At 39.0% G+C, this 16,223-nt stretch overlaps 1 protein-coding gene across 13 annotated transcripts in view, besides 1 other annotated feature; it reads left to right on the top strand.

Annotated features, from left to right (window-relative positions):
- Nucleotides 1-16,223, top strand: part of WDR27 (WD repeat domain 27) — a 275,610-nt gene that overhangs the window by 147,409 nt on the left and 111,978 nt on the right. Inside the window, exon 26 of one of the 13 annotated variants that reach the window (XM_011535685.4) lies at nt 3,160-3,581. The exons of the other annotated variants lie outside the window; for them this stretch is intronic. Coding sequence (XP_011533987.1) covers nt 3,160-3,240 — 81 coding nt within the window. The 3' untranslated portion in view covers nt 3,241-3,581. Of the gene's footprint in view, nt 1-3,159; nt 3,582-16,223 lie in introns of those variants that run through there. 13 annotated transcript variants of the gene reach the window in all.
- Nucleotides 997-1,965: an enhancer, noted in NCBI's record as "H3K4me1 hESC enhancer chr6:169952752-169953720 (GRCh37/hg19 assembly coordinates)". NCBI's record gives its function as "activates a minimal SCP1, AML or CMV promoter by ChIP-STARR-seq in naive H9 embryonic stem cells {active_cell/tissue: H9 hESC(naive)}" and the evidence as "EXISTENCE:reporter gene assay evidence [ECO:0000049][PMID:30033119]".

Genomic DNA, 16,223 nt, shown 5'->3' with positions numbered 1-16,223 from the left:
CAGTGTTTGCTTTGCAGCTCCGAAAGTTTGGGATCTGGAATGCAGAAATGCTTATATTTTTAAGGATGCACCCTACTTCAATATTTTGATTTGGTTATACTTCAGGCTATTTTAATATCTAAAATTGTATTTCGCCAGCAATGATTTATATAAAGAGTACTGGAGTTGACAAGCAGGGCCATGAATCGTAGCACATCTGTGATTTGCTTGCAAAGCACCGACAGGGGCAGCTTTGCTCGTATTTTCTTGGTCAGAGGACTTGCCTCTGCTGATGGGTCCCGTCTTCCTGCATTCACCATCAACCTTTCCCTTAGAGCGTGGTAGGCACTTGTGCCCGACTGCAGCCCCGTCCCACCCAGCCGCTGAGTCCTTCCAGCCCCTGAGGCTGAAGGGAGCATGGGCTGGGCATGAACTGGGCATGAACTAGAACCCGGGCATGACCACCCGCTTCTAGCCTCAGCTCTGCCCTTTGCTGTTGGGTTTCTTGAGTTGCCTTATTCCACTTGGTTATTACTTCGTTTCCTCAGGTAATCAGGACTTTGTCAGCTTGTCTGTCCATGCGAAATTGTAGCAGAACTAGAACAATAGCACACTAAAAAAAGTGACTTAAAAGATTACAAAGAATAATTTCATTTTAAAGATCAAAAATCTGCCATTTAGAGAATTTAGGAATTGTAAGATGTCATAGACCTAATTTGTGGCAAACTTTAGAGTAAAATCAGGTCTTCTGCTCTCAGCCAGCATTCTTTCTCTCACTCCATTCTGCCTCTTCAGAACATCTGGAGGGTTCCAGGGCTTTGGAACACAATATATTATGAACATGTGAACGGTAACGTCCCCATTTGTGGGAGTATTTTCAGTTTGTTCTGGGAGAAGAGAACCTTAAGTATCTCCTTAAGCATGTTATGCTCTTCTAGCAGGTCGTAATGTTCACATAAAAATATCAATTTAGCCTTCAAAGCAGGCCTTAAAAGAAGGTGTTATCATTCCCTTATATAGAAAGGAGCCTGAGATTTAAAGCGCTTGAGGTTGACCCCTGGCCACTAAGTTACTAAATGACAGAGAAGGTTCTGAAGCAGAAATCCTGCATCCAAGACCAGAAATCCTCCTACTATAGAACAGCTGATCTGTGTGTTTTGGCCTTTCCATTTTATGACACTTTTGTGGCACTCCATTTCTAATTTATATTCTAAGATGTGTCATAAAGATTCAATGAAAATTTGGCAGAGAATATTTTATATTGCTCTTCTTTTCTAAAGATAAAAATGGTACCATGTCTTCCTCCTGACCTGTGTACTAAACCGGAAAGAATGGCTTGCGGATGGGCAGGGAGACGTTGCTGGGCCGGGCTGGGAGTGAGAGGTCGGCGGCTCCCTAGAGCAGGGGCCACATCGGGACAGCCAGGACTCTGGTGCTGCCTGAAAACATTCCCTGAGCACCCGCAGTCCCTGTGGATGCTGCTGTCCCACAGTGCTCTGGTCTCTCTGATGGCGTCCCCGCCCAGGCCCTCCCCACCTCCCTGCATACACACACACACACACACACACACACACACACACACAGGCCCTCCAGGCCCTCCCCACCTCCCTGCATACACACACACACACACACACACACACACACACACACACACACACACACACACACCGGGCAGGCCCTCCCCAAACAGCACACAGAGCGCGTGCGAGCCGCGCTTAGCTGCCTTTTAAAATGACATCTGCTGCTGCGGAACTCTCAAGTTCATGCAATGAGGACGTCATGAAGGATGATTATTTTAGCCTCAACTGAGAGAGAGTCTTTTAAAACAGTTAAAAATCCTCAGTTACAGACAACATGCATGAAAATACAATTCATTTTTACATATATGGTAATACAAAATTCCACTAACAATGTTTAAACATTAGATATTAGAAGATAGTGAGGGATAATTACATCACAATAAATTAGGTTCCAGGGAGGCAGTTGATCAATTTAGAGCAAGCACTTTCTTCAGTGGAACCTGGCATGAATCTTGCCTTTACCTCTTTCTGGCTATATGACCTTGAACAAGTGATTTCACCTCTTTTATTGCTAGTTTCATCAGTGAAATATTATTAAATTAATTCAAGAAAGTTTATGAGGGAGCTACTGCAGGGTGTACGGCTGTTAAATATATATCATTTGTCCAACACAGCTGTATTCCATGCCCTCTGCGTTCAGCTGTTGCTCTGGGAGTGAGGGCTGCAGCGGGAACAGGCTGAAAGTCCTCGTGGAGCTGGCGTTTCAGCGTGTTTGTGTTTGTGCAGTGGGGGAGACGAACAATAATAACATGAGTGGTCATCTACGTGCTTATTAAAAGGCCACGGGTTCTATGGCTAAACGGAAGGAAGTGGGGGGCAGCTTGTGCAGGTGGGGACAGCGACTCTGCATGTGTGGTCGGGGTGGGCTGCATGACTGCCGGGTGGTGGGACGATGAGAACACAGGCCCGAGCAGGATGGAGCCTGGATGCTTGGGTCAGCAGGACGGACACTGGAGCAGCAAGTGAGAGGGAGACCTCCTGAGTGACTGGGGGCAGTGGGGCCCAGACCCCTGTTGCCTTTCTTTGTATGCGGCTTCTCTGCGTGGGACGGAACCCACGGGAGGGTATTGAGTAGATCACTGAGAAAAATCTGACTTCTAAGACAGGGGTTTGCAGATGACCCTGTTTTTGTAAATAAAGTTTTATCAGTACGCAGGCATTCATGTAAGTGTCGACTGTGACTGCGTTCAGAATAGCAGCAGCGGAGTTGCGTGGTTATGACGCAAGCGACCTGGCCTTCAAAGCCAGAATCGTCTTTACTCTCTGGCTGCTAATAAGACACGTTTTTTCTTTTCTTTTCTTTTTCTTTTTTTTTTTTTTTTTTGAGATGGAGTCTCGCTCTTATTGCCCAGGCTGGAGTGCAATGGCGCAATCTCAGCTCACTCCAACCTCCACCTCCTGGGTTCAAGTGATTCTCCTGCCTCAGCCTCCTGAGTAGCTGGGATTACAGGCACCCACCACCATGCCCAGCTAATTTTTTTGTATTTTTAGTAGAGACAGGGTTTCACCATGTTGGCCAGGCTGGTCTCGAACTCGTGACCTCAGGTAATCCATCCACCTTGGCCTCCTAAAGTACTGGATCCTCCTCTTGTTTTAACAGAGTCACTCAGGTTGTTATGTTGAGAAAAAACTAGAGGAAGAGGTTGGACACAGGAGACCAACTAGGAGGTGCCTGGAGTAAATCAGGAGAGATAGTGGTAAGTTCTGTGAAAAACGTAACCCAGATAAGGGGGCCCAGTGAGGGTGAGCGTGGGGTCTCTCTGTGTCTAAATTACTTAGCGAAGTGATTGGAGCCTTATGAGTCCCAGTTCATTAGCTGTAGGGGTGGTAGAAATCAGTTTGTTTACTGTAGTAGTTTCATCCAACTGAAGTATGATTTGTATTTATAAAGTGGGGACTCATTCACCTTTCCAAAATAGCATGAATGGACATGCCAGCTCAAACGCCTTTGGAATTTTATAGTATTTTTCCTCATTTATTTTTCCTTAGAAGAGTTTATGTTCTTTATTTATTTTAATCTATGCCCACATAAAAATAACTCAAAATGTCCAGGTGCGGTGGCTGACACCTGTAAACCCTCCACTTTGAGAGGCCGAGGTAGGCAGATTGCTTCAGTCCAGGAGTTCAAGACCAGCTTGGGCAACATAGTGAGACCCCGTCTCTACAAAACATACAAAAGTTAACCAGGCGTGGTGGCGCATGCCTGTGGTCTCAGCTACTTGGGATGCTGAGGTGGGAGGATTGCTTGAGCCCAGGAGGTCAAGGCTGCAGTGAGCTGTGATTGAGTCACTGCACTCCAGCCTGGGCAACAGAGAAAGACCCTGTCTCAAAAATAAAATAAGGCCAGGTGTGGTGGCTCACACCTGTAATCCCAGCACTTTGGGAGGCTGAGGCGAGTGGATCACTTGAGGTTAGCAGTTCAAGACCAGCCTGGAAATCATGGTGAAACCTCATCTCTACTAAAAATACAAAAACTAGCCTGAGTATGGTGGCACATGCCTGTAGTCCTAGCTACTCAGGTGGCTGAGGCAGGAGAATTGCTTGAACCCAGGAGGTGGAGGTTGCAATGAGCCGAGATTGTGCCACTGCACTCCAGCCTGGGTGACAGAGTGATACCCTATCTCAAAATAAATAAATAAATAAATAATATAAAATACAATAACAATAAAAATAACTCAGAATGACACACAAGCATTAACTGGATCTGTGGGCCCAGTAGCCTAGACTACCATTTCATGTACTCAGTGGACAGCAGTTCCTGGCCTCATTAACCTTCTTGTTGATGCTAGATGTGTTATTTTAGAAACATACAAAGTAACTGAACACTCTTATAACGATATGTGCAGCTTTTCTGAAAGTTTACTTAAACAAATTCTTTTTAAAGAGCAGTTTTAGGTTCACAGCAAAATTGTGAGGAAAGTATGGAGATTTCCCTTGTGCCTCCTGGCCCCCTGTCCCTATCTTCCACCAGAGTGGTACGTTTGTTACTGTTACCATTGTTGATGAACCTACATTGACACATCATCATCACCAAAGTCCACAGTTTATCAGCATTCACTCTTGGTGGTGTGCCTTCTATGGGTTCTGACAGGCCTATAATGGCATCATCCACCATGACAGCATCATAGTGTATGTTCTCTACATACTGTAGTTCCACTGCCTTAAGAATCTGCCTATTCATCCCTCTCTCCTTCCTAACTCCTGTCAACCACTGGTTTCTTTACTGTCTCCATAGTGTTGCCTTTTCCAGGAGATCATAGAGTTGGAATCACACAGCATGCAGCCTATTCAGATTGGCATCTTTCTCTGCATAGCATGTGTTTAAGCTTCCTCTGTGTCTTTTCATGGCTTGCTTGCTCACTTCTTTTTAGTGCTGGATCACACTCTGTCATCTGGATGCACCACAGTTTTATTTATCAGTTCACCTACTGAAGCACGTCTTTGTAGCTTTCATATTTTGCAATTATGAATAAAGCTGCTGTAAACATCCATGTGCAATTTTTGTGTGATGAACAATTTTCAGCTTATTTTGGTAAATACCAAGGAGTACAGTTTCTGAATCATATGGTAAGTGTATGTTTAGTTCTGTGGGAAACTGCCAAATTGTCTTCCAAAAAGGCTGCACCATTTTGCACTCCCACCAGCAATGAATGGGAGTTCCTGTTGCTCCACATCCTCACCAGCATTTGGTGTTTTCCATGTTCTGGACTTTAGCCATTCTCATAGGTGTGCAAATAATCTCATTGTTGTTTAAATGTGCATTTTCCTGATGATGTGATGTGGAGTATTTTTATATGCTTATTTGCCATCGGTATGTCCCTCTTTGGTGAGGCATCTGTTGACATCTTTGGCCCAATTTTTTATCGGGTTATTTTCTTTTGTATATATTAGATAGCAGTTCTTTATCGGATTTGTCTTTTGCGTTTATTTTCTCCCGGTTTGTGGCTTATCTTCTCATTCACTTGACATTATCCATTTCAGAGAAGTTTTTAATTCCAGTGAAGTCCTGATTTTCAGTTATTCTTTCATAGATCATGCTTTTTTTGTTGTATCTAAAAATTCATTGCCATACCCAAGGTCATCTAGGTTTTCTTCTATGTTATCTTCTAGGAATTATATAGCTTTGCATTTTGCAGTTAGGTTTGTGATCAGTTATGAGTTAACTTTTGTGTGAAGGGTGTAAGGTCTATGTCCAGATTCATTTGTTTTTTTGCATGTGAATGTCCAGTTGTTCTATAGCACCATTTGTTAAAGACTATTTTCTTCATTGTATTGTCTTTGCTCCTCTGTCAAAGATCTGTTGGCTGTATTTATGTGGGTCTATTTCTGGGCTCTCTATTCTGTTCCATTGTTCTGTTTGTCTCTTCTTTTTCCAACACAGCACTGTCTTGATTACTATAGATTCATAGTAAGTCTTGAAGTAGGGAACTGTTACCCCTTCAACTTTGTTCTTCTCTTTCAATACTGAGTTGGCTCTTCTCAGTATATGAAATATGAAATATTTCTATGTATATATGAAAGGTCTTTTGCTTTTCATACATACAGTGTGATGTTTCAATACATGTATACACTTTATAATGATCAAATCAGGGTAATTCACATATCAGTCACTTCAAACCTTTATTATTTCTTGGTGTTGGTAAAATTCAGAATCCTCTCTTCTAGCTGTTTAAAAAATACAATAAATTATTGTTTATTATAGTTTTTTTGCCTTTCTATGTAAATTTCAGAATCATTTTGTTGATATACACAAAATAATTAGCTGCACTTTTGATTGGGGTTGCACTGAATGTGTAGATCGAATTGGGAAGAACCGACACCTGGACAGTATTGTCTTCCTATCCATGGACATGGAATAGCTCTCCATTTATTTAGTTCTTCTTTGATATCCTTCATTAGAGTTTTGTCATTTTCCTCATATAGACCTTGTACTTATTTTGATAGATTTATACCTGTTTCATTTTTGGGTTGCTAATGTAAATGATATTGTGTTTTTAATTTCAAATTCCACTTGTTCATTGTTGGTATATAGGAAAGTGATTAACTTTTATGTATTAACCTTGAAAGTGATTAACTTTTGTATATTGACCTTGAATTCTGCAATCCTGCTAAAATCACTGTTTGTTCCAGAAGGTTTTTTTTTTTTGGTAAATTCTTTCAAATGTTCTATGTAGACAATCATGTCATCTACAAAGTCAGTTTTGTTTCTTCTTTACCAATCTGTATACCTTTTATTTCCTTTTCTTGTCTTATTGCATTAGCTAGGAATTCCAGTATAATGTTGAAAAGCAGCAGTGAAAGGGGATATCCTTGCTTTGTTCCTGATCTTAGTGGGAAAGCTTTAAATTTCTCACCATTAAGTGTGATGTTAGATGTAGGTTTTTGGTAGATATTCTTTATGAAGTTGAAGAAGTTCTCTGTTCTTAGTTTACTGAGAATTTTTATTATGAATGGATGTGGTATTTTGTCAAATGATTTTCAGTATCTATTGATATTTTTTAGCCTATTGATGGGATAGATTACATTAATTGATTTTTAAATGTTGAATCAGCCTTGCATACCTGGGATAAATCCCACCTGGTCAAGGTGTATAATTTCTTTCGTACATTGTTGGATTCAACTTATTAATATTTTATTGAGGATTTTTGCATCTGTCTACATGAGAAATATTAGTCTCTAGTTGTCTTTTTTTTGTTGTTTTTTACTGTCCTTGGTTTTTTTGTTAGAGTAATGCTGGCCTCATAGAATGAGTTTGGAAGCATTCTTTCTGTTTCTATCCTTTAAAGGAGATTATAGAGAATTGGATTCATTTCTTATTTAAATATCTGGTATAATTCACCAGTGAACCCATCTGGGCCTAGTGATTTCTGGTTTGAGAAGTTATTAATTATTGATTCAATTTTGGATATAGTCTTATTTAGATTGTTTCTTCTTGTGTGAGTTTTGGCATATTGTGTCTTTCAAAGAATTGGTCCATTTTGTTTAGGTTATCATATTTATGGGCATAAAGTTGTTTATAGAATTCTTTTTTTATCTTTTTTATATTATAAGATCTGTACTTGTGGTGTCCCCTCTTTCATTTCTCATATTAGTAATTTGTGTCCTGTCCCTTTTTTTCTTGGCTATCTCCCCACTTTCACTTGTGAGAACATAGTCAAGAGCTCGATTGTAAGTAAAAACTGTCTCTAACAAACTAAGGAGGCCCTGTGAGATCTCGCCAGTAGTTTGAGTTTTACGTAAGCCAGCGCCCCTAGTACAGTTATTGTTGATTAGAAACATGGCCAGACAGCTGGAGATTTTACATAGAAAGTTCTTTCATAAAATTATTCTCATTTTGTGGTAGCTCCTTGACCATTGCATCCATGCTAAGCTTTGCTTGAGCTGTGGAACCCTTCCATGATGGGTTTGAGGGTCTGGGGATAGAAGGGATTTGTGCCCTATTTCTCATCTGGAAACTGGAGAAGAGACGGCCTCAGGTGTGCTCAGTGGCACGAAGAGGGTGGCTTCAGTGGTTTAGAATCTGCGGCCAGGCAAGTCTGAGGAGACTGTGGATACACATCTGCCCTATCCTCAGTGTCCCCACGGCTCTCCCTGAGCTCCTGAGGGCCCAGGAAGACTCAAAAGGGAAGCAGAAGGGAGTGCACGTGGAGGCTGACAGTGTACCAGCTTCCTGTGGGAGCTGGAGCCCAGGTCCCTGCAGCCCAGCAGAGTGGCTGTCACAGAGCTGCCGTGAACGCTGCTGTACACAGGTTTTGTGTGAAAAGAAGTTGTCTTTCCTCTGGGGCAAATTAGGTATGCAGTTGCTGGGTTGCTGGGCAGTTGCTTGTTTCCTTTTATTGGAAACACTGAGTTGTGTTCAGAGTGACCATACCCTCTTACATTCCCACCAGCAGTGTGTGTGAGTGATTCATTTCTTCGTGTCCTTGCCAGCATTTGATGTTGTCACTGTTTTCTATTTGAGCCACAGAGATAAGTGTGTCTGATAGATACTGCATTGCGGCTTTGATCTGTGTTTTCCTTAATGGCCGGCGAGGCTGAGCATCTTTAATGTGCTTATTTGTCATCTGTGTAAGCCTCTTGGTGGCTTATAGAATATCTGTTCATATCGCTTACCCTTTTTCTTTTTTTCTTCTCTTTTTCTAATTGTACTCTTTGTTGTTTTCCTGTTGAGTTTTGAGAGTCACGTTATATGTATGTATATATAATTACTATGTATCATAAAATTTATATGTATGTGTGCATATATAGAAAGTATGTAGTCTAGATACTAGTGTTTTGTCAGATATCTATCTTGAAAATATTTTCTCCAATTCTGTAACTTGCCTTTTCACCTTTTTATCCTCTTGACAGGGTCTTTCACAGAGCAGAAGTTTTTTATTTTTTGGAGACAGGGTCTCACTCTGTCACCAAGGCTGGAGCGCAGTGGCACAATCTCAGCTCACTGCAGTCTCTGCCTCCCAGACTCAAGTGATCCTCTGACCTTAGCCTCCTGAGTAGCTGGGACTATAGGCACCACCACGCTGCACTAATTTTTGTATTTTTACGTAGAGATGGGGTCTCACCACCTCAAACTCCTGGGCTCAAGTGATCCACCCGCTTTGGCCTCCCAAAGTGCTAGGATTACAGGTGTGAGCCACCAGGCTTGGCTGGATGAGGTATAATTTATCAACTTTTCCTTTTATAGATTCTTCTTTGGTGCAAAGTATAAAAACTCTGCCTAACCCTTGATCCCATGGATGTTTTCTTATGTGTTTTTCTAAAAGTTTTATAATTTGTTTTACACCTTTATCAAATATTGGTTGGGCATATTTGTGTAGGTCTGTTTCTTCATTCTCTATCCTGTTTCATTGCTCTGTCTTTGTCTCTTCACCAATACCATACTGTCTTGATTAGTGTGGCTGTAAAGTAAGCTATACTGTGAGATAGAGTAATTCCTCTCATTTTATTCTTGTTTGTCAAGTTTTAGCTATTGTAGGGCTTATGCCATTCCAGATAAATATTAGAATAAGCTTGTCTGTGTCTACAAAAATTCTTTTTGGAATTTTGATAAAAATTGCATTAACCCTATAGATAAATCTAGGGGAGAATTTACATTTTTACTATGTTGAGTCTTCCAGTACATGGAACATGGTTTGTATTTCCATTTATTTTGATATTTGATTTCTTTTGTCAACATTTTGTAATGGTCAGCATGCATATACTATAGACTTTTCAAAAAAGTTATACCTAGGTATATAATTTTCTTTAGAATGAATGTAAATAATACTGTGTTTTAAAAGTTGGTTTCCACATGATCATTTTTAGTATATAGAAATGAGACTGATTTGGGCTGAGTGCAGTGGCTCACACCTGTAATCCCAGCACTTTGGGAGGCCAAAGCAGGTGGCTCACTTGAGGCCAGGTGTTTGAGACCAGCTCGGCCAACATGGGGAAACCCCAACTCTAATAAAAATACAAAAATTAGCTGGGCGTGGTGGTGCCTGTGGTCCCAGCTACTTGGAAGGCTGAGGTAAGAGGATTGCTTGAACCTGGGAGGTGGAGGTTGCAGTGAGCCAAGATGGCGCCACTACACTCCAGCCTGGGTGACAGAGCGAGACTCCATCTCAAACAAACAAACAAACAAAAAAAAAAAAAAGGAAAAGAAATGAGACTGATTTTATGTGATGATATTATATCTTGCAACTTTGATGAATTTACTTATTAGTTCTAAGAGTTTTTTTTTAATAAATTTCTTGGGATTTTCTCTGTAAATAAGCATGTCATCTGCAAATAGGGACAGTTTATTTCCTTCCCCAAATCTGTCCTACTCTTGCCTATCTCAGTCGCTATACCTTAGAGCACTATGTGGACTGAGAGTGTGAGAGTAGACATCTTTTCATTATCCCCAGACTTAGGGGGAGAGCATCCAATCATCACCATTAAGTGTGATGTTAGTTGTGTTTTCTTGATGCTGTTTATCAAGGCAATGTTCCTCTCTTCCTGAATTGCTGAGTTTATCATAAATATGTGTTGCCTTTTCCAAATACTTTTCTGCAACAATTGTTATATATAATTTTTCTTCTTTAGCTTGTTGATGTGGTCAACTGTGATGTTTTGATATTGTATAATGTAATATGTCAATATTTGAAATCTGCATGACTCAGTGAACTGATGTTTTCTATATGATTAATGCATGTTGTTACAAAATCATGCATTGGTAAAAATCTGTTCAAAGTGGAAGATACACCAGTAGATTTTAATGCTTCAAAATGCAATTTATTGACAAGGTTTCAAGTTTCACAACTCACATAACCTTTAGGAAATATATACTCATCATGTTTTGAAGTAGTATTAAAAAAGAATATTCAAATTATCTGAAATGACTATTAAAAATACTTCTTCCTTTCCCAACCTCATATCTTCAACCCAAACAACAGATTGCAACAGACTAAATGCTGAAAAAATATAAAATCATGCCATTCATCTCACCAAATTTGTTTTTGTTTAGGAAAATATAATTACCTTATAAAATAAGTTATGTTAAAAGGTAATGGATTTATTATTATGAATTTAAATAAATACATATTTTTAAAACTTTTCATTTTCAATTTCTAATTTGCTAAATATTGGTAGAAAAGACCCACATGAGTAAAAGCCCTTTGGAATCCTCAATAACTTTTAAGAGTATGAAGGGGGTATTAAGACCAAAATGTTTAAGAACTGTTGTCCTATGATGGGATTATTCTGGCTTTAAATAGTTCCTTGTACTCACTTTGGTATGACATTTCTCTAGAACTTTGCCTATGTGCTGAGTGTTCAGATTTATTGGTGTAAAGTTGTTCATTGCATTTTCTTATTTTTTGCTTAACTTTTTAAAAGTTTTTGATATTATTTGAAACTTATAGAAAAGATATAAAACGAATATGTAAAATACTATATATTTTACCCAGATTAAATAATTGTTTTATTTACACATTTCCCATTTTCTTTATTGATTTATTATTTATTCATATTCCTTCCTTCTCATTCTTCTTACATGTAGCTGATTAGCACCTTCACTCTGGTTAGTCCATGCTGAGATGCTCTGTAAGTCTAAAATACATTTGAGATTTTGAAGCCATAGTACAAAAGATACGTTTTCTCAATAATAACTTTTATCTTGATTATGTATTGAAATATTTTCATGTAATGAATTAACTCAAATATCAAAATTAAATTACTTTATTTAAAATATGGCTACTGGAAAATTTAAGATTATACATATGGCTTGCATAATATTTTTATTAGATTGTGTATATATTATAAATTTAGTTTCCAAACTGCTTGAGAGTTAGTTGAAATATGATTCCCTTTATGCCTAAACACTTTAGTATGCATTCCCTAAGACCTGGGACATCCCCTTACATAAATAGAGGACAATTACCGAAGTCAGGAAATGTAACATTAATACAAGACTATTATCTATTTATCTACTCTACAGTTCACTTCCAATTTTAACATTTAAAAATGCTTTGTCACCATTTTCCTCTTCAGGATGATGCATTTCATTTAGTTATTTTGTCTTAGTCTCTTGGAATAAATTCTAAGCCTTTCTGTCTTTCTTGACCTTGACATTTTAAAAAAGTACAAGTCAATTCCTTTGTAAAATTTCCTCATTTGACTTTTTTGATATTTTCTTATAATTAGATATTTTTTTGGTCAGGAATGCCACAGAAACAAAGTTGTACTTTTATCAGTAGTTAAATGATGTTGGTTTGTTGCAATTACTTTGTTTAATTTAATAACTGGCTAAGATACTGCTTATCAGATTTCCCTATTATAAAGTCAATATTTTTCTTTATAAAATTAATAAGTGGTTTTTGGCTACATACTTTGATATAAATATCCTATTTATCATTAAACTTTTAACTACCAATCTGATGATTCGTTGATAAAATTCGGCATTTTTGCATATACATTTTTACCTCCTTAAACTCACCTTTAAAAATAAATTATGAGCTAGACAGTATAGTATGAAAGTGTCATCCTCAGGATTTCTGCAAATGTCTAAAATCTATACCCCTTTCCTATGAAGAGTTTGAAGCAGGAGCAGTGGACCTATGTAACAACAGTTTGTCTTCAGAAATCATGAAATTGTTCCCTTAATATAAAATTTTGTTCCCTATTTGTCTAGAGGAGGAGAACACCTAGAAATAGTCATTCATTAAGAAAATAATTAATCTTTATTAAGTGACCATGTTAAGATTTATCATCATTATTTATTACATTAGAATTTTTTAAGTCTCAAGATATTTTGCTTAACTTATGCCTACTTCTTGGATAGAGTATAAAATTCATTAAGTACTTTTTTCTTTTCCGTTTACCAGATTTGCTTATGGTTGCAACTTGTAGGGGTTACCGGGACCATCAGTCCTTTTGCTGAAAATTTTCTAGTCATCTGTCAGTTAGACCAAGCTTTTCTTCTATTAGATCTCTCAAAAAGAGTTCGTGGTTAGAGAACACCCAAGTTCCTGCAGGTTAAAGCTACTTTTCTATGGCCTCGTGCCTGAAGGCCAGGCTGGCTGGTTCTGCAATTCTCAGCACACGTTTTCTTATTGACATGTCTGACAGCGGTGCTGCCCTGTGCTGTGTGCTGTGCTTGATGCAGTCAGATTCCTCTGCAGCTCATTGATCCCCATAGAGAATTATCAATGAAGTCTGATTGTTTCACTGATACACAGCTCAGAGTAGATCGTTGTGGGTCAGGATATAGATTTGTGTCCTTTTTTATGAATCTGGAAGTTTTTCTTATAGTTTTAAATATTGGTTTGTTCTACTGTTTATTTTTACTTTCTTCAGAGACTCTGGTTTTGTGTATGTTATTTCTTCTTGGCCTGTCATTCATTTTACTGTTTTCCTTGTCCTTTTTATGTCTTTTTAACCTCATTTCTATTTTAGGGTTTTTTTTTTTCTTGCCTTTCCTTAATGGTCCTTATTACATTTTTATTTGAGTCTGCTTTTCCTTGTTCACCTTGCAATTTATTGTAAATTCCGAGGGAGGCTTATTTCAGATAGAAAACAACCAATTAAATTGAAGGCTAGAATAAAGATTTCTTCAGTGATGCAGAGAAATGGTGTTCATGTCCAAGGCACTCCCCCTGGAGAGTTTACTTGAGCAGATACACCAATAAAATGAGGGTTCTGAGAACAGAGAAGGCACAGAATCCAGGAAATAACTAATCTAACCCAGGAGAGTGATGGAGGGAAATCTCAGGCCTCAGCTATGTCTCAGGGTTAGAAAATACCAGGTCCAGGTTCATGCAGGTGGACAGAAAATTTTGAGAAGATCTCGGGGTAAAAAGAGATTCTATTCAGGCCAGGCGCGGTGTCTCATGCCTGTAATACCAGCACTTTGGGAGGCCAAGGTGGGAGGATCATGAGGTCAGGAGTTTGAGACTAGCCTGACCAAAAAATGGTGAAACCCTGTCTCTACTAAAAATACAAAAATTAGCTGGGCATGGTGGCGTCTGCCTGTAATCCCAGCTACTCAGGAGGCTGAGGCAGGAGAATTGCTTGAACTCGGGAGGCAGAGTTTGCAGTGAGCCGAGATCTCGCCACTGCACTCCAGCCTGGGTGACAGAGCCAGACTCCCTCTAAAGAAAAAAAAAAAAAGATTCTATTCAATAAGAGCAATACTGAGAAGATAGAAAATCTTCCAGATATGACAGAAGTATTTTTCATTAATAAATGAAAGAAAAATAAGTTTAAGAAAACAAAAGAATATATGATTTCAATGTGAAAGAAGTCAATATAATTTTAAGCATCGTGATCATAAGCAAGTTATGTGGTGTGGGGCAAGAGTGCATTTCAGTTGGGTGTGAGGAATGTTTTGCTTTTGTTACCTAAATAGTCATTCTAGGGGCCATAGAGAAGGAACAGCAATCCTAGTATGTTCTTGACTGCATGATGAATAATTTTACACAAGCAAAAGAAAGAAAATTATGATTAATGATTTTGAATTTCTTTATACCATCCATAGGAAAGGATAGAAAACCTGGTTGTAGCTATAGAAAACCACCTAAATGTTAACGGCTATGGCCATTCAAAATTTGGTTAAAATTTGGTTAAAATGTGAGAAGTGAAGGTGGGTAGGCCTGATGTCGGGAGGTAGCATTGCTGATGGACTCATTTTTCAGAGAGAGGAGTCTATGTAGGTTAACAGAAGAAAATAGTAAGAATCATAATATCATTGTATAGCCCTGGGAATGTGAAGTCCACAGGGGTTATTGTGTTTCCCAGGGCTTACTGTGGCTGAGGTAACCTCTCTTCTTTCACAGGAGGGAGCCAGCAGACACAAGCTGGGGGTTTTAAATTCCTTCACCCCCACCTGTGGACAGGACACAAACTGGTTTTGATCAGGAACAGCACCCAGCATCGTCAGTCTTAGCACTGACATTGCCTCCTTGGAACAGGCTTGTGAGTGGGGAGGGCTGGGATGAAAGACTGTTGATTTGGGGTATAAGTTCTCTGAACTGCTTAGATTCAGATGTGAATCATGTTATTTGATAAGTTTTGTTTTGTTTTTTTTAAGTAAGGGATGGTGGTGGATGTCTAACATGATACACGGAGCAAGAAGGAAGTGAGGCATTTGGGGCAGTAGGCAAAATGAAACACTGACAGAGACGGCTGACTGCCAGAGCTTTATCTGGAATCACTATTTCCTGTCAACATGAAATGGAATATTTTGGCTGGGTCAGTTGCTTATCCTTTGTCCAATTAACTGTGGACAAGTGATGGCCAAGTTGCTTCCCAGCGGGTTGGGGCGATGGGGGAGATCCCTCAATGAAGGATGTGGAGGTCCAGTTCTTATAGGCAGTGGACAGAAGGGACTGGGACACTGTGGTGAGGCTGTCAGAAGACCAGGGGGCTGTGCGACGGAAACAACTCCAAAGCTTTGTACACTGTTAGTACAAAATGGAAGGCATGTAAACCATGAAAGGACAGTGTGCATCCACCCAGTTGTGAATTACACCCTAAGCTATTGCTTATTAATGATAAGGGACTAGAATGTCAACTCATTCTAATAAATTAGAGGAGATTCAAATTTGTCTTCAAAATAAAATCTTTCTTATGCTGAGCTATGTTTCCTTAATTAAGATAGAACAGGGTAAGTGCGAGAAACTATATGGCCTACACATTTATTTGGTAGTCTGTAATGTGTGTATTTCATGGGATTGTATCATAGGAGTAATGTCATGATTACAAAATGTCATTTACTATGTGTACTGAAGAACAAAAAATCTTCATATTACTGCATATGGTTAGTGTTTGTATATATACATGCACATATATATATATAAGTGTGTTTGTGTGTGTGTGTGTGTGTGTGTGTGTGTGTGTATTCCAGTATGTGGAGGCTTGACTATGTTGCAGGCCTATATAAATAAACCAGTGAAAAGGGAGACCTTAACTGAAATTGCAAGGTCCTAGAGGGAGATGAGTTTTCCTGGAATGAAAAAAAGGAGAGGAAGAGTAGGAAAATAACTATTTCGAAGGAAAATATCTATTTCTGGTTTCAGGAGTGACTTAAAGAATTTCATTTTAGCTTGTGAAAGGTGGGATATCCGTTCTTAAGAGTGACCTTATGGGAGGAGTCCAACCATTTGCTTTGCTTCCATGTTATTGAACTATGTCGCACGGTTGGAA

Source organism: Homo sapiens, chromosome 6, assembly GCF_000001405.40.
Source record: "Homo sapiens chromosome 6, GRCh38.p14 Primary Assembly".
Classification (NCBI taxonomy): domain Eukaryota; kingdom Metazoa; phylum Chordata; class Mammalia; order Primates; family Hominidae; genus Homo; species Homo sapiens.
This window is presented reverse-complemented; position numbering and strand designations above follow the sequence as displayed.